The 26605-nt window shown below is 38.1% G+C and overlaps 2 protein-coding genes across 43 annotated transcripts in view, besides 4 other annotated features; one reads left to right on the top strand and one right to left on the bottom strand.

Annotated features, from left to right (window-relative positions):
• The window catches only part of CCDC18 (coiled-coil domain containing 18), a 98818-nt gene extending 89336 nt beyond the window's left edge, over positions 1-9482 (bottom strand). For 21 of the 39 annotated variants that reach the window (XM_011541361.4, NM_206886.4, XM_017001161.3 and 18 more), the window contains exons 1-4: positions 8513-8679; positions 5900-6035; positions 5249-5417; positions 2892-3050 (exon numbers count right to left, since the gene is read on the bottom strand). In XM_011541361.4, coding sequence (XP_011539663.3) covers positions 2892-3050; positions 5249-5417; positions 5900-6033 — 462 coding nt within the window. In that variant the 5' untranslated portion in view covers positions 6034-6035; positions 8513-8679. Of the gene's footprint in view, positions 1-2891; positions 3051-5248; positions 5418-5899; positions 6036-8512; positions 8680-8976; positions 9066-9406 lie in introns of those variants that run through there. The other 18 variants (NM_001378204.1, XM_047419510.1, XM_047419526.1 and 15 more) reach the window with 5 other exon arrangements.
• Positions 8372-8581: an enhancer, noted in NCBI's record as "active region_1328". NCBI's record gives its function as "activates an Ori minimal core promoter by ATAC-STARR-seq in GM12878 lymphoblastoid cells {active_cell/tissue: GM12878}" and the evidence as "EXISTENCE:reporter gene assay evidence [ECO:0000049][PMID:35858748]".
• Positions 8642-8921: a silencer, noted in NCBI's record as "silent region_1082". NCBI's record gives its function as "represses an Ori minimal core promoter by ATAC-STARR-seq in GM12878 lymphoblastoid cells {active_cell/tissue: GM12878}" and the evidence as "EXISTENCE:reporter gene assay evidence [ECO:0000049][PMID:35858748]".
• Positions 8982-26605, top strand: part of TMED5 (transmembrane p24 trafficking protein 5) — a 30672-nt gene continuing 13048 nt past the window's right edge. For all 4 annotated transcript variants that reach the window (NR_030761.2, NM_016040.5, NM_001167830.2 and 1 more), the window contains exon 1: positions 8982-9341. Coding sequence is in view for 3 of the 4 variants with exons in the window: in NM_016040.5 (NP_057124.3) it covers positions 9153-9341 (189 nt within the window). In the remaining variant the exon portion in view is untranslated. The remainder of the gene's footprint in view (positions 9342-26605) is intronic.
• Positions 9452-9601: an enhancer, noted in NCBI's record as "active region_1327". NCBI's record gives its function as "activates an Ori minimal core promoter by ATAC-STARR-seq in GM12878 lymphoblastoid cells {active_cell/tissue: GM12878}" and the evidence as "EXISTENCE:reporter gene assay evidence [ECO:0000049][PMID:35858748]".
• Positions 18429-18538: a silencer, noted in NCBI's record as "silent region_1081". NCBI's record gives its function as "represses an Ori minimal core promoter by ATAC-STARR-seq in GM12878 lymphoblastoid cells {active_cell/tissue: GM12878}" and the evidence as "EXISTENCE:reporter gene assay evidence [ECO:0000049][PMID:35858748]".

The raw sequence follows: 26605 nt of genomic DNA, 5'->3' as shown, positions 1-26605 counted from the left end.
AAGCAACCTAAGTGTTCATCACAGATGAATGGATAAAGAAAATGTAGTACTTACACAATGGAGTACTATTCATCCATAAAGAAGAATAAGAATCAGTCATTTGCAACAACATGGATGGAACTAAAGATCATTATGTTAAGTAAAATAAGTCAGGCACAGAAAGACAAATATCACATGTTCTTACTTATTTGTGGGATCTAAAAATCAAAACAATTGAACTCATGGACACAGAGAGTAAAAGGATGGTTACCAGAGGCCGGGAAGGGCAGTTGTTGGGGTGGGGAGAGGTGGGGATGGTTAATGGGTACAAGAAATAGAAAGAATGAATAAGAACTACTATTTTATAGCACAACAGGGTGACTATAGTCAATAATAACTTAATTGTACATTTAAAAATAACTAAGAGTTTAACTGGATTGTTTATAACACAAACGATAAATGCCTGAGGGGATGGATATCCATTCTCCATGATGCGATTATTATGCTGCATGATTGTATCAAAAAACCTAATGTACTCCAGAAATATATACGCCTACTATGTACCCACAAAAATTAAAAATAAAAATTAAGAAACAGAAAAATTTCCAGAACCAAAAGATACAAGTTTCCAGCCTGAAAGGGCTCTCAAATACCCAATATGAGTAATAAAGGCCTATTCAAAGACAACTTGTTGTGCAGTTTTAAAACACCAGAATGGGAAGGTCCTAAGAACTACCATCTACCATAAAGTGAAAAACAAACAAATGGGGGGAAAAAAGAGATTACATGCTAAAAAGTAATTCACAATGGCAACAGACTTTTCAAAGTGGCACTGGAAGATAGAAGGGAGTAATGCCCTAAAAATTCTGACATTAAATAATTTTCAAACTGGAATTTAATCACGAGTGAAGAAGAAATTAAGACATTTTCAGGCAGGCAAGGAAGTAACTGGAAGATATGCTCCAAATACAGAAAGAATAAACTAGGAAATAACAAAAAATAGAATTCAGGAAACAGTAGCTCCAACCTAGAACAACACCAAAGAGAAGTCCCAGGGTAGCAGTTGGACAGCAGGTGTAGAGGGCAAAAAGCTCAGAAAGAGCAGGATGCCAGGCTCCAGAAGAGTAAGTACAACCATTGCCAGACGTAAGTTATGAATATATTGATTGATTTCTGCAAAACAGTCTCAATAGTGGGCATATATGTAACATCAAAAGCTCATACATGGCCTGAAATAGGTGGCTTCCCTAAAAAATATTTCAACAACTTTGAAAATGCTGAGCTGAGAAATACAATACTAGTATCTTACTTTCTCACATAACCACTGGTATGTTTATATCCTAAAAAGAAAGGTTCAAAATGCTATTAGTTCGTAGTTATTAAATTATCTTTATGTCTCTTTTCTTACTTTAAATCACTAAGCAATCATGACTTTAAAAAGAGAGATTATCTACAGTTGAAGAAAAATTTTAAAAATAAGCAGAAAAAATGAACAGACAAATCACAAAGAAATCTAAATGGCAAAGAAATACTGAAAAGGTACATTTTGTAAGAAATCAAGAAAAACAGCATTTTTCCCTCAAAGTGACCAAGAAAAGATGAGGAACCAAATGTAAATGCTTGAAAAACATTATTTCCCTAAAATTTGGTCATTCTGCCTCTGTAAGTCTACCCTAGAAATAATCTCAAACACCAAAGAAGTTTTATGTTCATTGCTGCATTTTGTTTTTCCTGTGCTGAAATAATCCCTAATAGCATTTTGTTTTGTTTGAAAAAACAGAAAAGAAAAATAAAGTCTTCCCATAACTCCTCTATTTAAAACTACATATAATGTATGTATACAATGTTTATAAAAGTAAATAGTGAAAGCCTCACTCCAACCTTCCAGTCTCTCTCGAAATTATCAACAGTGTGAAGCATAGTTTCTAACCTTAATATATCACATGTATATATATTTACATACAAACACACACACACAGACACATGCACACTTCTTATAAAGAGGAAAACTAAGAGTATTATACATGTGTGTACTGCTCTGTAATGTTTTTCTGCCACTAAATATATTAGGTAATTGTTTTTGAGTGCTGACTACACATAGACACTGTTTTAAGTGACTACATATATTATATCATTTAAACCTTATAATGCTCCATACAAGTCAAACAACTTTGCATCTTAGTACTAGTATATTTGCCTCATTTTTTTAAAAAAAGGTTTTGTTGCAATCTATCTTATGGGTATACCATAATTTACTATGTCTCCATTACTGGACATTTTGGTTTCTTCTAATTTTTTGTGTAATACCAATCATTTAGTAAAAAAATAGGAAACCACTGAAATACAGGAATTATTAACTAAATTATGATATAATCACATGAAATATAATGCTACCATAAAAAATGTTCAATGGAAAAGCTATGTAAATGCATCAGAAAATGCACAGACTATATATAAAGTAAAAAACAGAAAACACCAAAACTATTTAAAACAGTCTGGATTCAACTACGTATTAAACTGGTAAAGTGGTTTCTAGGTGGAAACTCTGGGTGATCTTTCTTCCTCTTTTTGCTACTTTTAAAATTTTCAACAATGACAATGTGTTATTTTAAAAGGGAAGATAAGTAAGTTATACTTCCTTTGTATAAAAAATAAAACCACACAAATTGGTAATCTTAACACCTTAAGAAGCTGACTTATCTAAATGCAAAAACTGTAAAGTTCCCTTCAATCATTTTCAGATATAATTCATACAATATTGATTTTACAACATGTTGATACTATAGTATTATAATGAAAATTACTTCCCATAACACATTAAGGCAATGTGGCAATACAAGGAATATTTTTCCAATTATAAATCTTAAAATAACAACTATTTTCTGTTGGCAAACTTATTTCAAGATACATACTTTTGCTCTTGACTGTGTTAATTCAAAGTGAATAGATTCAAATTTAGTCATTAAGGAATGATTCTGTGTGACCAAACAAGCATTCTGTTGCCTAAGTTTATTTAGTTTCTCTCGAAGGCTTTTAATCTCCTGATCCACAGGGGCAGAAGATGAAAACATCTGAAAGAATGAAAAAGAACAAATATATTTTCAATTATTTCAATTAAGGGTTACATGTAATTAATGGAAAATTATGAGCAATTATTAACAAAATGACGAAGCAGCTCAGAAAATGAGTTAAAATACTTAGTGAGTATTGACAAGGATATGTGGAACAATCAATACTCTCTCTTCCACTGCTGGTGGAAGTACATACAAGTATAACCTGGAAAACAGTGGTGCACTTTGGGAAACTGGCTGGTATTATCCAGCAAAGTTGAATATGCTAAGAACCAATAATATCATCCCTAGACATAAACCTGATAAAAACTTTTGTACTTTTTCACGTGCAGATATAAAACTATTCATAGCTACATTGTCCAGAGATAGTAAATAGGAAGAACCCAAATGTCCACCACCAACAAAATGGATAATAGGTAAAATATTATTTCATCTGTATAAATATTTTTATTATATTCTTTTTATATATATTTTACAATACATTTAATTTTCATGAGGATTGTGATTTTCAAAACATTTCTTTTAATTAACTTTATTTTGAGTGATTTATTTATGCAATTCAAAACTTGAAACTATATAAAAGAAAAAGTATACACAGAAGTCTCTTCCCATCTTTAATAGGTGGGTAACCACTTTTATAAGTTTCTTGTTTAGTCTTCTGGTAATTCCACATGCATACATAAGCAATATAAATTACCCACTTCCCTCCTCTCCTTATGCAAAAACTAGCACATTAAATATAACATTCTGCACCTTGCATTTTTTTTTTACTTGAACAATATACACTGGCAATCTCTCCATAATAAATACATTGACAAACTCCTTTTTTCTTCTCAACTGCATAGTTTCCATTGTATGAATAAACCATTAGTTTATTCAACTAACCCCCTATTACTGGATACTTGAACTATTTCTAATCTTTTGATATGATAAACAATGCCTAATTTCATATCCTGCAGGGTGTCTACAGTATCGTTTTTCCAGAAGTGGGAGTTCCAAGTCAAGGTAAATGTATTTGTAATTTTGGTAAATATTGCCAAATGCATCTCAGTTGGGGTTATATCACTGTGCATTCCCACTAGGCAATGTACCCGTACCCAATATCACCAATAAAATAACACCTCAAACATTTGAATGTTTAATAATTCTATAGGTAAGAACTAGGTAAGGTACTTAGGTATAGTTTCACTTTGAATTTATCTTATTATGAGTGAAATTGGACACCTTTTCATTAGTTTGGATATCACTTTTATTTCTTTTTCCGTTCATGTCTTTTGCCCATTGGGTTACTGATATTTTTGTTCTCAATTTCTAGGAGATCTTTACACACTAGATTAGCCTTTTGTCTTTGATCGGCATTATCATTATTGTTTTCCCAATTAAGGCACATATACAATAAGAATGATCAGCAATTTGAATGAGGATAGAGATCAAATTTCTTAGAATTACATACCATGTAAACATGGAATTTGAATTTGTTTCTAAAAAGTAGATTCAGACAGCTTCATTAAGCAGATTCGTTACAAAAAGGAAAGCTCTTAATGGTTGGCTTTCCGAAGTGGAAAGAGCAAATACATATCCAAAAAGATTATGTGCAACCATATCTGTGTATATACATGTAGGGAGTCGGGGGAACAAAGAATAGGAAGAGAGTGTAAAAGGAGATAAAAGAGTTGAGTGAGGAAGAGGGATAAATGCAGGGAGATAAATATGTGATAGAATAAGAAAAAGGAAGAGAGTTTCAGACCAAGCAAAGATCTCTAACATCATTGACAAAATAGATAATGAAAAGAGAACAGTGCCATACTATCCAAAGTACTTGATCCAGGCTTTAAATGGTGGGTATACCTTAACTACTTAATAAACAATTGATTACCTATTATGTATAAGATGTAGTGTTAAAATCAAGGGGATTATAATTTACTTAAGAAGACATTTAACTGCAAAAAGGTAATAAATATGTAAGTTTAAAAGTAGAGTAATACACCAAGATAACTACTTTCTTGTTAGAACATAAAAAGAACAATTATATTTAAATTCTTGAGTACCATAGTAAAAGATTATGGAAACCATGAATAAGGTATTTAAAGAAAAAATTTTTTTCTTTAATTTAATTTTAAAATTAAAAAAAATTTTTTTTAAGTAGACAGGCCTAAAACCAAAACTTCTTTTAACTAGATAGGTCTAAAAACAATAACCTTATCTCTTGGCTTTTTTTGAAAATCAGTGCTGCTACCAGATATTTTACAGACGTTTTCATAAGGTGAATAATTCAAAAGTCCAGGGTGGCTAGGCTGAACATCCAAAATTAGCTTTTCAGACCTTGAAGGATTAGGGGCATAATCAGAATTTTCACTTGGACTAACACTAGAGAAAAAAGAAAAAACATATTTCAGTTCTTGGATAGTTTATTCACTACAAATTGCTATACATTAAATAAGAAAATAGAAAACCTGAAATGCTGCTAAGCAGATTCACAGTTATGAACATAAGGCAATGTTTCCACTAAATTTTAAATAAATCATAATTACTTTTAAACTAGCAAACTGTATTTCTAAAGCCTCTACGCTAAGATTACTTAAGATTCAAAAAAATCATAAAAAATTAGTAAAGCCCAAAATATATATTTTATACTGAGTTCTAATACACTGAAAGTGTTTTTAATATGCAAAGAGGCTTCTCTAATATTCCTTATTTTTCCCTAAACTGAAAGTTACATTAAAAAGTATAAGAAAATTATTTCTTATTCCAGAGGCAGGTTAGAAACAATACATCATAATGAAATCCACACATTTTACATTGATGTATTTAAGGCACAGTGAATTCTATATGTGATTTTACTTACTTACCTGGATAACTCTTCCCCTAAACTCTGCAAACTCCATTCTGTTATCTTCAGTTCATGTCTTAAGGAAGCAACATTTGCAAGCAAACTTTCCTCTTCATTGTCTTTATTATAGTAGTCTGATGAACTAGATTCCATTTCTTAAAAAAAAAATGAATTTCTTGTACCTTGTCTGAAAGATTCTGTAGTTTCAGTCAAAATACTCACATGAATAGAATTTAACTCATTAGTTTTCTATTTTAAATGTTGTGAAATCTTTCATGGTGGTTTAAAACAAAACAAAAAATCAATAATAATGAATTTATCTGTAGTGTAAAGCCATAAAGGAATTCAATACAATTTCAATGAATGAATTTTTCATTTTAGCCAGGGTCTAGTTATTATAGTTCTCTTTTGTAAGCATACCTGATCTTCCTAACAATTGTTAATTATTTTCATTACATGTTAAGGAAACTAAGAATCAGACATTAAATAACTTGCTCAAAGTCACACAAACTGTAAATGGTGAAATCAAGATTTGAATCCAAGTCATTAGGATGCAAAGACCATTAAATTATGTCGCATTGTAGCTTTATTACATATTACATATCAATTTCAATATGAGGTGTTTGAACTTTCATAATTACATTACAAGTACTGGACATCTGATTAAATGGTATCATTACATTCATATTTTGTTAGAAGGGAATTTATTACCAGATAAAAGCTGTCTCCTCCTCCTACGCCCAATAGTTATAAAATTTTAAAAAGACACATTTACAAGTCACAACCACAGGGATCAAAATAACATTTGGCAGGTCAACTCATAGAAATGAAGAAAAGCTTTTGTTTCTTCAGTGGATGAGTATCTCTAGGGTTGTGAAACTACTAAATTTCTTTGCATATAAAAATCACAATAAAGCATCACATTTTATTATTGTAATTAATACAATAAAAAACTAAAGCTTTATAATCTCCACTACTACAGAGCTTTCTGCGCAATCTTAAAATTACATTCCTCTTTCAGATCCCATTTACCTTTTTCACTGTAGCATCTCCTTCAACGCCCTTCTTAGCATTCTGATCCCATCCCAAGTTCCAAAAGGTTAAAAGTCCTGTGCATTACGTTCAGGACCGCAATGTACTTAGAGAAGCTCAATATTTTGAATGAATTAACGAATACTAAACTGTCCTTCCTTCCCTCATCCAGTTAGAATGGTATGTTACATTTATTCCCCACTCAAAAATTCTCAGATGTAGGGAGGAAGATTAAAAAGAAAACTCCCACCTTATGGAAAGAAAGTGGCAGGAAATTAAATGAGATACTATGTAATCTTAATAGACAAACTGGTTCTATCCTCTTTCCCTTTTTTGTTTCCACAAATTTGCTTCTGCTTAAGTGACAAGACTCTCGCAGACAAGTCAATAAATCAGGTCCCCATCCTGCTTTACCTATTCAACATCTCTAGCTCTCTGTAGGATGGTGAAGGAGAAAAGGGTAGAGAAAATTGGGCAAATTCTATAATACCATTTGGTACTATATATTTCATCTTAAATCAGGTTTTAGTTCAACATCTGTGTATTGCCATGCAAGAAATAACTCCCAGTCCGGGCGCGGTGGCTCACGCCGGTAATCCCAGCACTTTGGGAGGTCAAGGCGGGTGGATCACGAGGTCAAAAGTTAAAGACCAACCTGGCCAAGATGGTGAAACCCCGTATCTACTAAAAATACAAAAAAATTAGCCGGGGGTGGTGGCGAGCGCCTGTAATCTCAGCTACTCGGGAGGCTGAGGCAGAGAATTGCTTGAACCTGGGAGGCGGAGGTTGCAGTGAGCCGAGATCGCGCCACTGCACTCCAGCCTGGGCGACAGAGTGAGACTCGGTCTCAAAAAAAAAAGAAAGAACTCCCTAACTCTTCTGCAGTAGCAATGAATATATTTGATACTAAAATGTTTTCATTTTCCTAGTGGGACATTTACTGTCAAATGAATGTCCTTAACTTCAATTTACAGTAGTTACCCAAAAAAGGCTATCTTCACTGACTATGCATACCTAGAAAAGCACATCATCCTACTCACCGACCTTAACAACATCATCTTTCGGCCCTAATTAACAATGTGTTTGTAGGTTTGCACACGCACACCCATCAAACGAAGGACAAGTGTTCTTTTATACCCTATGTATGTGATACAATGGGCTGTAGTCGAAAAAGATTCCTCATTTTGGAAAGAAGTCATAACTTTATGTAGTAGTCTCCTGTCTCAAGATCGCTTGACACAGCTAATCTTACATCCGTCTGAAAGAAGCGGGGGCGGGGGTGGGGGACGGAAGTGACAGTTTCCTCTTTTTTTTTTTTTTTTTAATTTTATAGAGACAGTGGCTCGCCATATTGCCAAGGCTGGCCTCGAACTCCTGGGCTCAAGCAATCCTTCCGCCTCGACATCCCAAAGTGCTGAGGTAACAGGCGTAAGCCACTGCGCCCGGCCTCCTATTTTTCATCAAATAAAATACAACCGTTCAGAGCAGCATGCTCAGCAACCACGAGGACCAGTCCCAGCGCATCCAAGGTGCCGGGAGGGAAAGGAACAGAACTCCCCCAGGTAAGCCGGTTTCCCCACGCCAAGGCGCAGTCGCTCACCACCCAAATCGTCGCTGGGGAGAGACCCACCCGGCGACTGCGCGCTTCGCACTCGAGTCTGCGTTAGGAAGCCTCTGACCCTTTCCCGGGCCCCTGCGCGTGGAAGCCTCGGACACAACTCGGAGAACCAGCGAACCCCGGCAGCACAGAATTCGAACCGCCGCGGGAGCCGTTGGGACGCGCCTACCCGGTCACTGCCCCGCCCCGGCGCAGACTGCGTGAGGCGCCGCCGAAGGCGCGGGGCTTGCCGGGGATCGTGGTCGGCGAGCGCGCCCGAGCCCACTAGCGGAGCCCGCCCGGGACTACATTTCCCACAATTACCGCCATGATGCCCATTGGTGGGGGAAGCCATGGGAACCGGAGGCCGTCAGGGGGAGAGGCGGGCGGCGCTCACGCCTGGCCTGAGGGGGCCGAGACTGAGGCGGTTGCGGAATAGGACTGCTAGCCCCGCCCAGAGTCCCTACCCTTTGGAGAACTGCGCTTCTCTTTCGGAGGGAGTGTTCGCCGCCGCCGCGGCCGCCACCTGGAGTTTCTTCAGACTCCAGATTTCCCTGTCAACCACGAGGAGTCCAGAGAGGAAACGCGGAGCGGAGACAACAGTACCTGACGCCTCTTTCAGCCCGGGATCGCCCCAGCAGGGATGGGCGACAAGATCTGGCTGCCCTTCCCCGTGCTCCTTCTGGCCGCTCTGCCTCCGGTGCTGCTGCCTGGGGCGGCCGGCTTCACACCTTCCCTCGATAGCGACTTCACCTTTACCCTTCCCGCCGGCCAGAAGGAGTGCTTCTACCAGCCCATGCCCCTGAAGGCCTCGCTGGAGATCGAGTACCAAGTAAGTGCGGAGGATAAACCAGCCTCCTTCCTTTAACCCAGCTGCACTGCGTTGTCGCCTCTCACCCGTTTAGAAACTTCTGGTGGACGGCCCTGGTGGTGAAGAGGCGAGGGCCGTTCAGGAAGCCAGCCCGCTCCGCGCAGGCGCGCGAGGCGAGGCGAGGCTCTCGCTGGGGCCGGGGACCCAGAACTTAGGCTGGACCTGGAATTGATGACTACCCGCCTTCTCCCCTTTCCTCCGGTGGGAAGGAGGCCAGAACTGGTGATGTCGCTGGCTTTTCTCTTTGTTTCCTAATTCGCCCACTGCTTTTCTTAGCCACTACACGCTCTCATACTGAGAATTTCACAATGCAGAACTGATACACGTTCTCCTTCATCATTGGACAAGGTGATGACACTTGTTTGAATCACCCCCACCCCTTTCACACAGTTCAGATGTTACAAATCACTGTCTTTGCTTCAGTTAAGGGTTTTTGGATTATGATCGTGTAATTGGCATTAAGCCCGATTTTGAAATTTTTTGGAAGACGCTGTTGCTATATTTAATGATACATTTCCGTTTAAGTTATATATCCATTATTTTCAAAAGATCAAATCGTATATTAAAACTTTATAACCTTTCTTTTCATTTTTTCATTGAGCATTGTAAGCATTTCCCTCGTGTCATTGTTTTTTTTTTTTTTTTTTGAGACGGAGTCTCGCTTTGTTGCTCAAGCTAGAGTTGGAGTGCAGTGGCGCTATCTCGGCTCATTGCAACCTCCGCCTCCCGGGTTCAAGCGATTCTCCTGCCTCAGCCTTCCGAGTAGCTGAGATTACAGACGTGCGCCACCATGCCCAGCTAATTTTTGTATTTTTAGTAGAGACGGGGTTTCACCATGTTGGCCAGGCTGGTCTCGAACTCCCGACCTCAGGCGATCCACCCGCCTCGGCCTCCCAAAGTGCTGGGATTACAGGCGTGAGCCACCATGCCTAGCATGTTTTCTTTTTAGTATCTGCATAATATTCTTGCTGGGAATTACCTTATTTTATGTAGTCATGGTGGTAGGGGGTAATTTCTTAGAAGAAATCTTGTTCGTTCCACAGCAAATTCCGATGTTTTCAGGTAGCAGTACAGGGGGGAAAGAAAAGGCATTGATGTGTTTCATCTTTCAGTTTTTTAGAAGTTAATTATAATCATCAAATGTTAATTTTTTAAGTTGATGTAGAGAATTGTTTTTAAATACCAGGTACTGTCACATACAGAGCAAAATAAAAAGTTGTAGAATTTTTTATACGATGGAACTTTAGGATTAAGTTGTATATAGATACACACGATAAGCACAGAGAATAAAATATCTAAAATCACATAGTGAGCAAAACTGAGGCTAAAACTCAGTGTTTCTTGATTTCCAGTAAAGTTCAAAAGTTCAACATTTACTGAACAGTTAACACGTGCCAGGAATTGTGCATGGAGGTGGGGGAGACGGAGGGGGAGCTGGGTTGTGCGGGATGTAGGTAAAAGAGAAAGAAAGAATCCCTCTTCTCAAAGAGCTTAATAAAGGTTACTGGCTCATAAACAGGTAATTTCAATAAAGGATGGCTAAGTACCAGTAGAGGAGGGTCACTTCTAAGGGTTTCAGAAGAGGATTCCTGGAGAAAATAAAATTTAATCCAGAAAGATGCTTAATTGAGACGAAAATGCCAGGAACAAGGGGCATTTCAGAAAAGCGAACAAAAAGATCCATAGTTCTTAAAATACATAGTGTAAGTGGGGATGGTTAGTGTGTAGTGGACACTACAAGTACTGAGTTTGTATTAGACTTTAAGACATATAAAGTCTAGGGTGGGAGTAGCAGAAAAGGACATCGGAGAGGCCAGAAGGCTGGGGTCATTAAGCATGAATCATAGCCTTGTTTGCCGTGCTGAGTAGGTTTTCCTTAATTTTGTACAAGTCCATTTAAGATTTAAGCAGATCACTGGATGCAGTGTGGAAAATGGATTTAAGGAGAGCAAAATTAGAGTCAAGGAAACTAACTAGAGGGCTAGTGAAATAGTCTAGATAAGAAAACAATTTGTATTAATAAAAAAATCTTCAGTATTTACACACATATTAGGGAAGATATCTATTTTAACTACTGTCCTCTTATAGTTAAGAGCACCAGCTCTTAACCTTAGCCTGGGTTCAAATCTTGACTCTGCCTACTTAAAACTTATGTGATCTTCTCACTTGTAAAATAGAGATAATAATTGTAACTACATCATAGAGTTGATTTGAAAAAGCATGAGTTAATAAATGCTCATATTCAGTGTAAAGTAGTCTATTAAAAAATGCTCATAGATCATCCCTGACACATAGTAAATAATCAATGAATGTTAATTTTACATTTATACCTCTATAGTTATGTAGCTGGCTTGGTTTAGCTTTATTCTTTACATCTTTAGTCACTCTTAAAGGGACTGTTCCTTTTTTTTTTTTTTTTTTTTTTTTTTTGAGACAGAGTCTCCCTCTGTCACTCTGTTACCCAGGCTGGAGTGCAGTGGCGCGACCTTGGCCCACAGCAACCTTCATCTCCCGAGTTCAAGTGATTCTCCCGCCTCAGCTTCCCGAGTAGCTGGATTACAGGCATGTGCCACCACACCCAGCTAATTTTTGTATTTTTAGTAGAGACGGGGTTTCACTATGTTGGCCAGACTGGTCCCAAACTCCTGATCTCAAGTGATCTGCCAGCCTCAGCCTCCAAAGTGCTGGGATTATAGGTGTGAGCCACCGCGCCCGGCTGGGACTATTCCTTTAAAACATTCTCCCTAAACAATTTGTTTTGATTAAGGAAAGAGGTAAAATCATTTGTCTGTAATCCTAGACAGTGTTGGTGAGATGTGTAGGGTAACTATCATCTTCCACCCTGTTTGTATTTCCCAACTTGTTTAATTTCCCAGTAACTACATCCTACTAATTTTTGTCTTAAAGTTAGTTTTTAAAATTTTATAGAACAATCTAGTTTTGTCCTTGGTTACTTATTGAAAATTTTACTAATTTCTTACTTTTTAGGTTTTAGGAGAATACTTTTTGGATAATTGACTAGCCTCACATTATATTGATAGAGGTTCTTGAAAACTTTAATGCCAATTCATGTATCTTATGACTAAAATAGATAATCCATTTAGAAATTTAAGTCATTCTTGCGTGCTTGATATGTGTCAGCACTATCCAAGTTGCTAGGGATACAATGGTGAGTGAAAATATCAGCTAGGTGCAGTGGCTCACACCTGTAATCCCAACAGTTTGGGAGGCCAAGGTGGGAGGATCACTCAAGCACAGGCGTTTCACACCAGCCTGGACAACATAGCAAGACCCCATCTCTACCAAAAATAAAGTTAGCCAGGCATGGTAGCACACACTTGTGGTTCCAGCTACTTGGGAGGCTGAGGTGGGAGGATCACTTGAGCCCAGGAGGTTGAGGCTATGGTGAGCTGTGATCACACCACTGTACTCCAGCCTCGGTGACAAGAGCGAGACCCTGCCTCAAAAAAATATATATATATATGTTTGTGTGTGTGTGTGTGTGTATAGTCTGTGCCCTCATACAATCAAGTATTAATTAATCAAATTATTACACAAATACATGTCAAAATATTTACTAGGGGTAATGAAGGTAAGTTCATAAGACTATGAGTGGGCTCAGTAGGAGGACTTCATTTTATCTGGAAATTGAAAGACATCCAGAAGTAGAGTTAAGATCTACAGAATTATCAGACTTTCACTAGGCATAATGGAATGAGTGGTACGAGACAATGGGTAAAAAAGAACAACAACGTGCCAAGATACTAAGGAAGAAGAGAGAAAGATACCTTTGAGGTCCTGAAAGATAGGATACAGAGAGAGAAAAGTGGTACAAGTCTACTTTAGAGAAGTCAGTAGCAACAGCAACCAAATCATTGTGGGCTTTTAGGTCCTTGTTAAGGATATGGGTCTTTTGCAGAGACCAGTAATACGCCACTGAATAGTTATAAGCAGGTTAACTCGATCTGTGTTTTTTAAAAGATCGTTTTGGCCACAAGGTATTGAGCCTCTCTGTACCAGTTTCTATACTTTAACAGTAATCACCTGCTCCCCACTATATATTATTGTGAAGAATAAATATGCTAATACATGTAAAAGGAATGGTATCTAGCACCAAATAAGCACTCAAAAAATGTTAGCTAGAAAATAAACCCTGAGCCTAGAACAACAATACTTTTTTAAGGGCATAATAGGCACTAAAAAGTATCTATTGAATGAGTGAACCAGACGTTTACCAAACATGTAAAACTATCTGGGTGAGTTTTTGGGAGAATATAGCTATATCAATTTTTAAAAATTTTTATTAGTCTTTCATTTTTGTATAGAGCCAAATTTCAATATTTTCTGGTAAACTGGCCATTTCATCTAATTTTTAAAATTTACTTGTATAATATACCTGATGCCATTTGGAATATCTCCTATTTCCATTTTATCTACAGGTATACATGCCTAATATTACATGTATAAAGTAGATAGGACTACTTTATTGATCTTTGGGAAAAAATGTCTTTTGAGTATTTATTATTTTTTGTTTTATATACATACACACACATATCTATTATATATACACACATTTTATACATATACAAAATATATAATATATTCATATACATATAAATGTATATGTATATATAAATATGTATATAAAAAAACAAAAACTCAAAAGCCATATATGTGTGTGTGTGTGTGTGTGTGTGTATATATATATATATATAGGCATAAGGGAGTAAGTGGAACAAGACAATGGATTAGAAGGCACAACATGTGCCAAGATACTAAGGAAGAAGAGTGAAAGATACCTTTGAGGTCCATTTATATATATATATATATATATATATAAATGGCTTTTAAGTATTATATAAATATATATATATAAATGGCTGGGTTTTGGGGAGAATAATATATTTAATAATTTAATATATATATTTGGGTTTTATGTGAGTCTGTGTGTGTGTATATATACTTTTTTTTTTTTTTTAAGAGATAGGGTCTCCAGCAATCCCATTACTGGGTACACACCCAGAGGAATATAAATCATTCTACCATAAAGACACATGCATGCGAATGTTCAGTGCAACACTATTCACAATAGCAAAGACATGGAATCAACTAAATGCCCAGCAATGACAGTTTGGATAAAGAAAATGTGGTACATATACACCATGAAATACTATGCAGCCATAAAAAAGAATGAGATCATGTCTTTTGTGGGAATATGGGTTGAGCTGGAGGCTATTATCCTTAGCAAACTAACACAGAAACAGAAAACTAAATACCACGTGTTCTCACTTAGAAGTGAGAGCTAAATGGTAAGAACTTATGAACACAAAGACGGAAACAACAGACACTGGGATTTACTTGAGGAGGGAGGGTGGAAGGACAGAGAGGCACAGAAAAGTTAACTATTGGGTACTGGGCTTTATATCTGGGTGATGAAATACTAAGTTGGTGCAAAAATAATTGTGGTTTTTAACACGTTTACCTATGTAACCTTCACATGTATCCCCAAGCCTAAAATAAAAGTTAAAAAAAAGAGAGATATGGGGTCTCACTATGTTGCCTAGGCTGAATTTGAATTTGGGCACAAGTGATACTCCCACTTCAACCAGCCTCCTGGGTAGCTGGGACTACAGGCACATGCCACCACACCTGTCTCCTTTATGAATTTTTTTACTTCCAATTATAAAAGTAATATACAACCTCCTTAGAGTAAGTCAAACAATACAAAGATGTAAAAGCAAAAAAAGCTGGGTGCGGTGGCTCACACCTGTAATCCCAGCATTTTGGGAGGCCAAAGTGGGTGGATCACGAGGTCAGGAGTTGGAGACCAGCCTGACCAACATGGTGAAACACCATCTCTTAAAAAAAAAGAAAAAACAAAAAACAAAAATTAGCTGGGCGCAGTGGTGCGCGCCTGTAGTCCCAGCTACTCGGGAGGCTGAGGCAGGAGAATCACTTGAACCCGGAAAGCAGAGATTGCAGTGAGCCGAGATCGTGCTGCTGCACTCCAGCCTGGGTGACAGAGTGAGACTCCATCTCAAAAAAAAAACAAAAAAAAACCTCTTTGTAACTCTATTGAATGCCTGTTGTCATTCTCCTAGATGTGAACTCTTCCACACCTTTTCCCATACTCATAAAAACATATAGGGTTTGATGGGGTGAAACACATATGATTATTTAATTAAAATGTCATGGTCTTTAAGTCCTTACAAAGTTTTTACCAATAGGTAAACAAACCAAATCAGTTTTTAATAAGGAAGTCTATTGGTTCATATAACTGGAAGTCTGAATAGGACTGATTTCAGGCTTAATTTGTTTTCCTCTGGTTCTTACGGCTCTGCTCTCTTGACTTTTCTTAAAGAATTGAATTACTTAAAGAATTCTTCACTGACAGATATTTTTCCTAAATGCATCAAAACTAGTATTTTATTGTCTTCTGACTTCGATTATAGCTGTTGAAGCTTCCTGTCAGTTTGTTATATATTTGTAGTTCATCTCTATTTTCTCTTGTAGCTTTTTAAATTTTCTGCTTCTGCATTTTCACTGCAGTTTAAGTGGATCATCCAAGCTTCTTAATCTCTCATAATTTCTCTCTTTGTCTCACTCTCCTATTTTATGGATAATTTCTTCAGCTCTATCTTCTACATCATTAGCTTTAAAAATTTATTATCAGTATTATTTTTGATTGGCAAATTATAATTGTATACATTTATGCGGTATAGCGTGATGTTTTGATACATATATACAACATGTAATGATTAAATCAGGCTAATTAACATTGCCTTGCCTATAATTTTTTATGATGAGCTATTTGAAATTCAGTCTCAGTTATTTTGAAATATACATTATTATTGACCATAGTCACCTTCCTGTGCAATAGATCTCAAAACCTATTCCTTCTGTCTATCAGAAACTTTGTACTCTGTGATCAACAGCTCCCTATTCCCTCTCTCCCCAAGTCCCCCACCCCCAGCTTCTGGTAACCATCGTTCTACTCTCCACTTTTAGGAATGGAACTGTATGGAATTCTAGGAATTCCACATATGAGATAATGCAGTATTTGTCTTTCTGTCCCTGGCTTATTTCACTTAGTGTAATGTCCTCCAGTATTCCATTGTGTATCTATACCACATTTTCTTTATTCATTCATTAATGGACACTTAGGTTGTTTCTATGTCTTGACTATTGTGAATAATGCTTCAATGAATATGGGAGTGCAGATATCTCTTTTACATACTGATTTCAGTTCCTTTGGATGTATACCAGAAGTGAGATTACTAGATGATATGGTAGTTGTATTTGTGGTTTTTTGAGGAACCACCATATTGTTTTCCATAGGGCTGTACTAATTTACATTCCCACCAACAATGTACTAATTTGTTTTTTCTTTTTTGAGATGAGGTCTTGCTGTGTAACTCCGCTGGTCTCAAACTCCTGGGCTCAGGATCCTCCCATCTCAGCCTCCTGAGTAGCTGGGATTACTGGGATTATAGATCTTGTACATATTTTGGTAGATTTGTACCTAATTCTTTTTTTCTTTTTTTTTCTTTTAGTGCTAACGTAAATGGTATTGTATTTTTTATTCCCAACTCCAGTTGCTTGTTGCTGGTGTATAGGAAAGCAGTTGACTATTGTATGTTAATATTGTATACTGAGACTTGGCTATCATCACTTATTAGTTCCGGGACGGGTTTTTTTTTGGCAGTTCTTTAGGATTTCTACATGGACTATCACAAGGACAGTTTTATTTCTTCTTTTCCAATAGGTATGTCTTTTCTTTCCCTTTCTTGTTGTATTACATTAGCTCGAGCTTCCAGTATAGTGCTGAGTAGGAGTAATGAGGGAGTAGCATCTTTGTCTTGTTTCTGATTTTAGTGAGAAAGCTTCTAGTTTCTCGCCATTAAGTGTGATCTTAGCTGTAGGATTTTTGTAAATGTTCTTAAGTTGAGGAAGTTCCCCTCTATTCCTAGTTTGCTAAGATTTTTTTAATATTAAATATCATGGATTGATATTGGATTTTATCAAATATGTTTTCCATACCCATTGCTGTGATCATCTGAGTTTTCTTCCTTAGCCTGTTGATGTGATGAATTACACAAAATAATTCATGAATGTTGAGCCAGGCTTATATACTTGGAACAAATCCATCTGGTCATGGTTGTAATTCTTTGTTTACATTGTCGAATCAGCTTTGCTAATATTTTGTTGAAGATTTTTGCATCTGTGTTCCTAAGAGATACTGGTATGTAGTTTCCATTTCTTGTAATGTCTTTTCTGGTTTTAGAATTAGGGTAATGTTGGCCTCACAGAATGAGTAAAGAATTGTTCCCTCAGCCTTTATTGTCTGTAAGAGATTTTAGAGAATTGGTTTCATTTTGTCCATAAATGTTTGGTAGGATTCACCATTGAAACTGTCTGGTCCTGGTCCTTTCTTTTGGGGGAGGTTATTAATTATCAGTATAATTTCTGTAACAGATACAGGCCTATTCAGGTTATCTATTTCTTGTATGAGTTTTGGTACTTTATATCTTTCAAGGAATTGGCCTGTTTCATCTAAGTTTTCAAATTTGTGGGTATAGATTTATTAATAATGTTCCACTGTGTCCGGAATTGGCGGGTTCTTGGTCTCACTGACTTCAAGAATGAAGCCGCGGACCCTCGCGGTGAGTGTTACAGTTCTTAAAGGCAGCGTGTCCGGAGTTTGTTCCTTCTGATGTTCGGATGTGTTCGGAGTTTCTTCCTTCTGGTGGGTTTGTGGTCTCGCTGGCTCAGGAGTGAAGCTGCAGACCTTTGCAGTGAGAGTTACAGCTCTTAAGGTGGCGTGTCTGGAGTTGTTCGTTCCTCCTGGTGGGTTTGTGGTCTCGCTGGCTTCAGGAGTGAAGCTGCAGACCTTCGTGGTGAGTGTTACAGCTCATAAAGGCAGTGTGAACCCAAAGAGTGAGCAGCAGCAAGATTTATTGCAAAGAGCAAGAGAACAAAGCTTCCACAGTGTACAAGGGGACCCCAGCAGGTTGCCACTGCTGGCTGAGGCAGCCTGCTTTAATTCTCTTATCTGGCCCCACCCACATTTCGCTGATTGGTCCATTTTACAGAGAGCTGATTGGTCTGTTTTACAGAGAGCTGATTGGTCTGTTTTGACAGGGTGCTGATTGATGTGTTTACAATCCCTGAGCTAGACAACAAAAGTTTTCCACTAGATTAGCTAGATACAGAGAGTGTGGATTGGTGTATTTACAAACCCTGAGCTAGACACAGAGTGCTGATTGGTGTATTTAAAATCCCTTAGCTAGACATAAAGATTCTCCAAGTCCCCACCAGACTCAGGACCCCAGCTGGCTTCACCCAGTGGATCCCGCACCTGGGCCGCAGGTGGAGCTGCCTGCCAGTCCCATGCCGTGCGCCTGCACTCCTCAGCCCTTGGGCGGTTGATGGGACTGGGTGCCGTGGAGCAGGGAGTGGCGCTCTTCGGGGAGGCTTGGGCCGCGCAGGAGCCCACAGTGGGGGGCTGAGGGGAGGCTCAGGCATGGCGGGCTGCAGGTCCCAAGCCCTGCCCCGCGGGGAGGCAGCTAAGGTCCTGCGAGAAATCGAGCACAGCAGCTGCTGGCCCAGGTGCTAAGCTTCTCACTGCCCAGGGCTTGCAGGCCGGCCGGCCGCTCCCAGTGCGGGGCCGCGGAGCCCACGCCCACCCGGAACTCGAGCTGGCCCGCAAGCATCACGCGCAGCCCCAGTTCCCACCCGCGCCTCTCCCTCCACACCTCCCGGCAAGCTGAGGGAGCCGGCTGCGGCCTTGGCCAGCCCAGAAAGGGGCTCCCACAGTGCAGCGGCGGGCTGAAGGGCTCCTCAGGCGTGGCCAGAGTGGGCGCCAAGGCCAAGGAGGCGCTGAGAGCGAGCCAGGGCTGCCAGCATGCTGTCACCTCTCACCACTATTATCCTTTTATTTATATTTTTTAAGATGGAGTCTTGCCATCACCCAGGCTGGAGTTCAGTGGCACGATCATACCTCACAGCAGCCTTGAACTTCTGGGCTCAAGTGATCCTCTCACCTCAGCCTCCCAAGTAGCTAGGGAGGCATGCACCACCATGCCTGCCTAATTTTGTGTGTGTGTGTGTGTGTGTGTGTGTGTGTGTGTGTACAGACAGGGTCTCACTTTGCTGCCTAGGCTAGTCTCAAACTCCTGGCTTCAAGTGATCCTCCCATCTCAGCCTCCCAAAGTGCTGAGATTACAGGCATTGGCCACCACGCCTGGCCATTATTATCTTTTTAATGTCCATAGATAATTAATGATGACCCAGCTTTTATTTCTGATATTAGTGTTCTGTGTCTTTTCTCTTTTTTTTCTTGGTTTGCCTGACTAGAGGTTTGTTAGTTTTATTGATCTTTTTAAAAAACCAGTTTTTTGCTTCATTGATTTTTTTTTTTCTGCGTTGATTTCTTGTTATCAATTTTCTTGATTTCTGCTCTAATGTTTTTCTTCTGGTTGTTTTAGGTTTGTATTACTGTTCTTTCTCTGGCTTCCTAAGGTGGATGTCTACATTATTGATTTTACATCTTTCTTCTTTTCTAATAAGTTCATCCAATGTTATAAATTTCCCTCTAGGCACTGATTTCTCTGTATCCCACAAATTTTTGTTAGGTTGTATTTTCATTTCATTGAAGTTAAAAAAAATTTTATCTTGAGACTTCTTTGTCCCATGAGTTCTTTATAAATGTGTGGTTTAATCTCCAAATAGTTGGGAATTTTACAGCTATTTTTGTGTTACTGATTTCTACCTTAATTCCACTGTGGTCTGACAGCACAAATCAAGGTGTGTTTTATGGCCCAGAATGTGGTCTGTGTTGGTGAATGTTCCATATGAGCTTGAGAAGAATGTTATTCTGCCATCATTGGATTGATTAGTTCTCAAGATTCAATTAGACACATTTGATTGATGGTGCTGTTCAGTTCAACTATATCCTTACTGATTTTTTGCCTCTTGGCTTGGTCAATTACTGATAGAGGGATGTCGCAGTCTCCAGCTATAGTAATGATTTTCTGTTTCTTCTTGTGGCTCTTTCAGTTTTTGCCTCACATATTTTGATACATTGTTGTTAGGTGTATACACATAAGCATTGGTATGTCTTCCTGGAAAGTTGACCATTTATTATAGGTAATGCCCGCCCGCCCCTTTTCTTTTTGAGACAGAGTCTTGCTCGCTCTGTCGCCCAGGCTCTAGTGCAGTGGTGCCATCTCAGCTCACTGCAACCTCCACCTCCCAGATTCAAGAGATTCTCCTGCCTCAGCCTCCCAAGTAGCTGGGACTACAGGCACGTGCCACCATGCCCAGCTCATTTTTTGTATTTTTAGCAGAGATGGTGTTTCACCATGTTAGCCAGGATGGTCTCAATCTCCTGACCTCGTGATCCGCCTGCCTCAGCCTCCCAAAGTGCTGGGATTACAGGCGTGAGCCACCATGCCCAGCCAGTAATGCCCCTCTTTATCCCTGAAGATTTTCCTTATTCTGAAGTCGTCTTTCTCTGACATTAATATAGCTACTTCAGATTTCTTTTGATTAGTGTTAACACGGTATATCTTTCTGCATCCATTTACTTTAAATCTATCTGTGTCTTTATATTTAAAGTTGGTTTCTTGTGGACAGCATATGGTTAATCTTGTATTGTCATCCACTCTAGCAGTTCTTTTAATTGGCATATTTAGACCATTCACAATGTACTTACTGATATTGTTGGATTAATATTGCCATGTTTATAACTCCTTTCTATTCATTGTACTTGTTCTTCTTTTTACATCTTTCCCCCCTTTTCTGCCTTCTCTGGTTTTTACTGAACATTTTATATAATTCTACTTTCTCTCTTCTCAACATATCAATTATACTTATTTTTTAAAAGTTTTGTGGTTGAAATGGAATTTGTCCCTGGGATGCAAGGATGGTTCAGCATTCTCAAATCAATCAGTAGAATGATATGATACATCATATCAACAGAATGAAGGACAAAACCCATATAATCATTTCAATTGATGCTGAAAAAATATTTGATAAAATTCAACATCTCTTCATAATAAAAACCCTCAAAACACTGGGTATAGAAGAAACATACCTCAACATAATAAAACCCATAGATGACAGGCCTACAGCTAGTATCTTCTGAATGGGGAAAAACTGATAGCCTTTCCTCTGAGATCTGGAACACAACAAAGATGCACACTTTCACCACGGTCATTCAACATAGTACTGGAAGTCCTAGCTACAGCAGTCAGAGAAGAGAAACAAATAAAGGGCATCCAATTTGGAAAGGAAGAAGTCAAATTATCCTTCTTTGCAAATGATATATCTTATATTTGGAAAAGTCTAAAGACTCCATAAAAAAAGCTATTAGAACTGATAAACAAATATAGTGAAGTTGCAGGATATAAAATCAACATACAAAAATCAATAGCATTTCTGTATGCCAACAGTGAACAATCTGAAAAAGACATTTAAAAAGTAATCTCATTTACAGTAGCCACAAGTAAAATTAAAAAAGAATTAGCCGAAAAAATGAAAGATCGCTACAATGAAAACTATAAAACATTGATGAAAGAAATTGAAAAGGACACCAAAAATGGAAAGATATTCCATGTTCATGGATTGGAAAAATCAATATTGTTAAAATGTCCATACTACCCAAAGCAATCTACAGATTCAGTGCAATTCCTATTAGAATACCTTTGGCATTCTTCCCAGAAATAGAAAAAACAATTTAAAAATGTATATGGAACCACAAAAGACCCAGAATAGCCCAGAAATATCCTAAGCAAAACAAAACAAAACTGGAGGAATCACATGACCTAACTTCAAATTATACTACAGAGATATAGTAACCAAAATGGCATGGTGCTTGCAAAAAAACAGACACATAGACCAATGTAACATAATAGAGAACCTAGAAACAAACCTATACACTTACAGTGAACTCATTTTTGACATAGGTGCCAAGAACATACACTGAGGAAAAGAGTCTCTTCAATAAATGGTCCCGGGAAAACTGGATATCCATATGCAGGAGAATGAAACTAGATCTCTACCTCTCACTGTATACAAAAATCAAATTAAAATGGATTAAAGACTTAAATCTAAGACCTCAAACTATGAAACTACTACCAGAAAACATTAGGATAACTCTCCAGGACATTGGTCTGGGCAAAGATTTCTTGAGTAATACCTCACAAGCACAGGCAACAAAAGCAAAAATGGACCAATGAGATCACATCAAGCTAAAAAGCTTCTGCTCAGCAAAGGAAACAGTTAACAACGGGAAGAGCCAACCCAAGAATGAGAGAAAATATTTGCAAACTACCCATCTGACAAGGGATAAATAACCAGAATATATAAGGAACTCGAACAACTATACAGGAAAAAAAATCTAATCTAATTTAAAAATAGGCAAAAGATTTGAATAGACATTTCTCAAAAGAAGACATACAAATAGCATATAGGCATATGAAAATGTGCTCAACATCATTGATCATCAGAGAAATGTGAATCAAAGCTGTAATGAGATCATCTCACCCCAGTTAAAATGGGTTATATCCAAAAGACAGGTAATAACAAATGCTGGCAAGAATGTGGAGAAAAGGGAACCCTCATACACTGTTGGTGGGAATGTAGATTAGTACAACCACTATGGAGAACAGTTTGGAGGTTCCTCAAAAAACTAAAAATACAGCTACCATATAGTCCAGCAATCCCACCACTGGGTATATACCCAAAAGAAAGAAAATCAGTATGTCAAAGAGATACCTGCACTCCCATGTTTGTTGAAGCACTGTTCACAACAGCCAAAATTTGGAAGCAACCTAAAGTGTTCATCAACAGATGAATGGATAAAGAAAATGTGGTGCTTATACACAATGGAGTACTATTCAGCCATAAAGAAGAATGAGATCTTGTCATTTGCTGCAACATGGATGGAACTGGAGGTCATTATGCTAAGTGAAATAAGCCAGGCACAGAAAGACAAATATCACGTTCTCACTTATTTGTGGGAGCTAAAAATGAAAGCAATTGAACTTATGGAGATAGAGAGTAGAAGGATGGTTAACAAAGGCTGGGAAGAGTAGTGGGAGGCTGGGGGGTGGAGGGGAAGGTGTGGAGATGGTTATTGGGTACAAAAAGAACAAAAATGAATAAGACCTACTATTTGATAACACAACAGTTGACTATAGTCAATCATAACTTAATTGTTCTTTTTAAAATATTTTTGCTTTGTAAGGCACTTTTGTTGTAGCATAAATGTACATTTTAAAATAACTAAAAGAGTATAACTGGATTATTTGTAACACAAAGGATAAATGCTTGAGGGGATGGATACCCAATTTTACACTATGTGGTTAATATGCATTGCATGCCTATATCAAAACATCTCATGTACCCCATACATATGTACACCTACTATTTACCCACACAAATTAAAATTTTAAAAAAATTTGCCCTAGATTTGCAATATACACTTACAACTAATCCAAGTCCACTTTCATGGGTAGTACAGGTACATTATAACTGAGTATTCCCAGTTCCTCTCTGCCATCCTTTATAGTTGTCATTCATTTCACTTATCCACATGTTGTAATCACTGAATACATTGTTGCTATTATTACTTTGAACAATGATCTATTTATTAGATTAAAAAAATAAAAGATTGTTTTCTCTTCATTTATTCCTTTCCTGATGCTCTCCTTTCTTATGTAGATCCATTAGTTATCTATTGATAAAAAACTAATCAACCACAAAATTTACTGGCTTAAAATATTTACTAGCTTTAGTTTCTGCCAGTCAGGAAAATCTGGTCACTGCTTAACTGGGTCTTCTACTCTGGATCTCTCACAGGGCTGCAGTCATCTTAGGCTCAATTGGGAAGGATCCAAACTCACTCATGGTTGTTGACAGGATTCAATTCCTTACTAGTTGTTGGACTTAGGCTTCTGTTCCCTACAAGCTGTTGGCCAGAGGCCTTCCTTGTTTCTTGCCATGTGAGCCTCTCTGTAACGCATTTTACAACATGGAAGCTTTGCTTCATCAGAGCAAGTAAGAGGGCAAGAGAAAGTGCCAGCAAGAGAGGACAAGCTAGCAAGACGGAAGTTACAATCTTTAGTAACCTGATTATGAAAGCAACATCCCATCACATTTGCCATGTTGTATTTATTACACAAGTGTATGAATATCAGAAAGGCAGGGATCATTGAGAGCCATGTCAGAAGCTACCCATCAAACCCATACCCAATGGGGCTATATCCTATGTGAATCGTGTGTGCCCTAGGTTGAGGATATGACCCTCCAGAAAGGTTTTTGCATTTCCTCCTCCCAGGCATTCCACGATGGAGGACTACATTTTATATTGTTCTCTGCTTGAGTCTCTGAACACGTGGGTAGTGAAACTGTGAACTACAAATTTGCTTGATGTGTAAGCTTATAGATGAATTACCTGGTGAACTTATATTGTTTTTTTCACATATGACTTGAGGCCAAGACGGACAAGCTTTCTTGTGATCTCTATGTACTGGTGGACTTTTTAAAAAAATTAACCCTTTTACTGATGGTATGACCCTTCAAAGATCCTAGCTTTATGCATAGTTCTTAGTTCCTGCCCCTTACATAATTCAGCCCCAAAGCTTCATGACCTGTCCTCATGGGGATATTAAATCTCAAGCTCCCAGGTAACTGTGACAAGTTAACCCCCTTCACAAACTTCCATTTACCACTCTAGTTTTCATGTCTTTTTTTTCTTTGCCCTTGCTATGTAGTTGGAAAGATTGTTTTCAAAATATAATCCAGCATTTCCAGGGAGTTTTATACTGGGAGGGCTTTTCGGTTATCTGTATATTGCCAAATTAGATGTCCCTCTATTTAATGTTTAAGTACCCATTTGTCAGCATCAAAATTAATGTCTATGTTTCCTTTTAACCTAACTTTTAACAGTTTTACTATTATCCCCATCATGTTCCATTGAAATCAACTGGAATTTTTGTTCCAGATTATGGCTTTTTTTTTTTTTTTTGAGATGGAGTCTCACTCTGTGGCACAGACTGGAGTGCAGTGGCATGATCCCAGCTCACTGCAACTCTGCCTCCCGGGCTCAAGCAATTCTCCTGCCTCAACCTCCCAGGTACCTGAGATTACAGGCGTGCATCACCATGTCCAGCTAATTTTTGTATTTTTTTTTTTTATTAGAGACAGGGTTTCACCATCTTGCCCAGGCTGGTCTTGAACCCCTCACCTCAAGTGATCCACCCACCTCAGCCTCCCAAAGTGCTGGGACTACGGGAGTAAGCCACCATGCCTGGCCCAGATTGTGGCATTTTTAGTATTTATTTTGTATTTTTAAAGTGTATTTTATGGCCAGGCACAGTGGCTCACACCTGTAATCCCAGCACTTTGGAAGGCTGAGATGGGCGGATCACTTGAGGTCAGGAGTTCCGAGACCAGCTTGGCCAACATGGTGAAACCCCATCTCTACAAAATACAAAAATAGCCGGGCATGGTGGCGCATGCCTATAATCTCAGCTACTCAGGACACTGAGGCGGGAGAATCATTTGAACCTGAGAGCCAGAGGTTACAGTGAGCTGAGATCGCGCCACTACACTCCAGCCTGGGCAACAAAGCGAGACTGTGTCTCAAAAAAAAAAAAAAAAGTATATTTTATGATTTTTTAATTAACCTTCCATAGTCTTAAAAATCATTTTTCACAATTTCATTAAGCCTGACAGCCACTACCAATAACTGCTTTTTAACTTTGTTTTACTGAAATCTTTTCTTAGCTTTGTTACATTGCTTGTTTTCTGATTTAATATATATATTTTTTGTTTTTGGAGGGTATCCTTGAGTAATTCTTTGAGAATGTTTTGAGTCCTTGGATATCTGAAAATAACTTTATTTATTTATTTTAAAATTTTATTTTAGAGATGGGTTTTCACTGTATTGCCCAGGCTGGAGTGCAGTGACTACTCACAGGCACTTTCATAGAACACTACAGGCTTTAACGCCTAGCCTCAAGTGGTCCTCCCACCTCAGTCTCCCAAGTAGCTGGGAATACCAGTGCATGCTACCACACCTGGCAAATGGCTTTATTTTTGCTTTCATGTCAGTAAATATCTTTTTACTTGGGAACATTGACTACATGGCTCCATTATTTTTTTCCATCTAATGTTATATGTAAGAATTCTGATGCTAATCCCAATTCTTGTATTTT

This window comes from Homo sapiens, chromosome 1 (assembly GCF_000001405.40).
Source record: "Homo sapiens chromosome 1, GRCh38.p14 Primary Assembly".
In the NCBI taxonomy this organism is placed as follows: Eukaryota; Metazoa; Chordata; class Mammalia; order Primates; family Hominidae; genus Homo; species Homo sapiens.
This window is presented reverse-complemented; position numbering and strand designations above follow the sequence as displayed.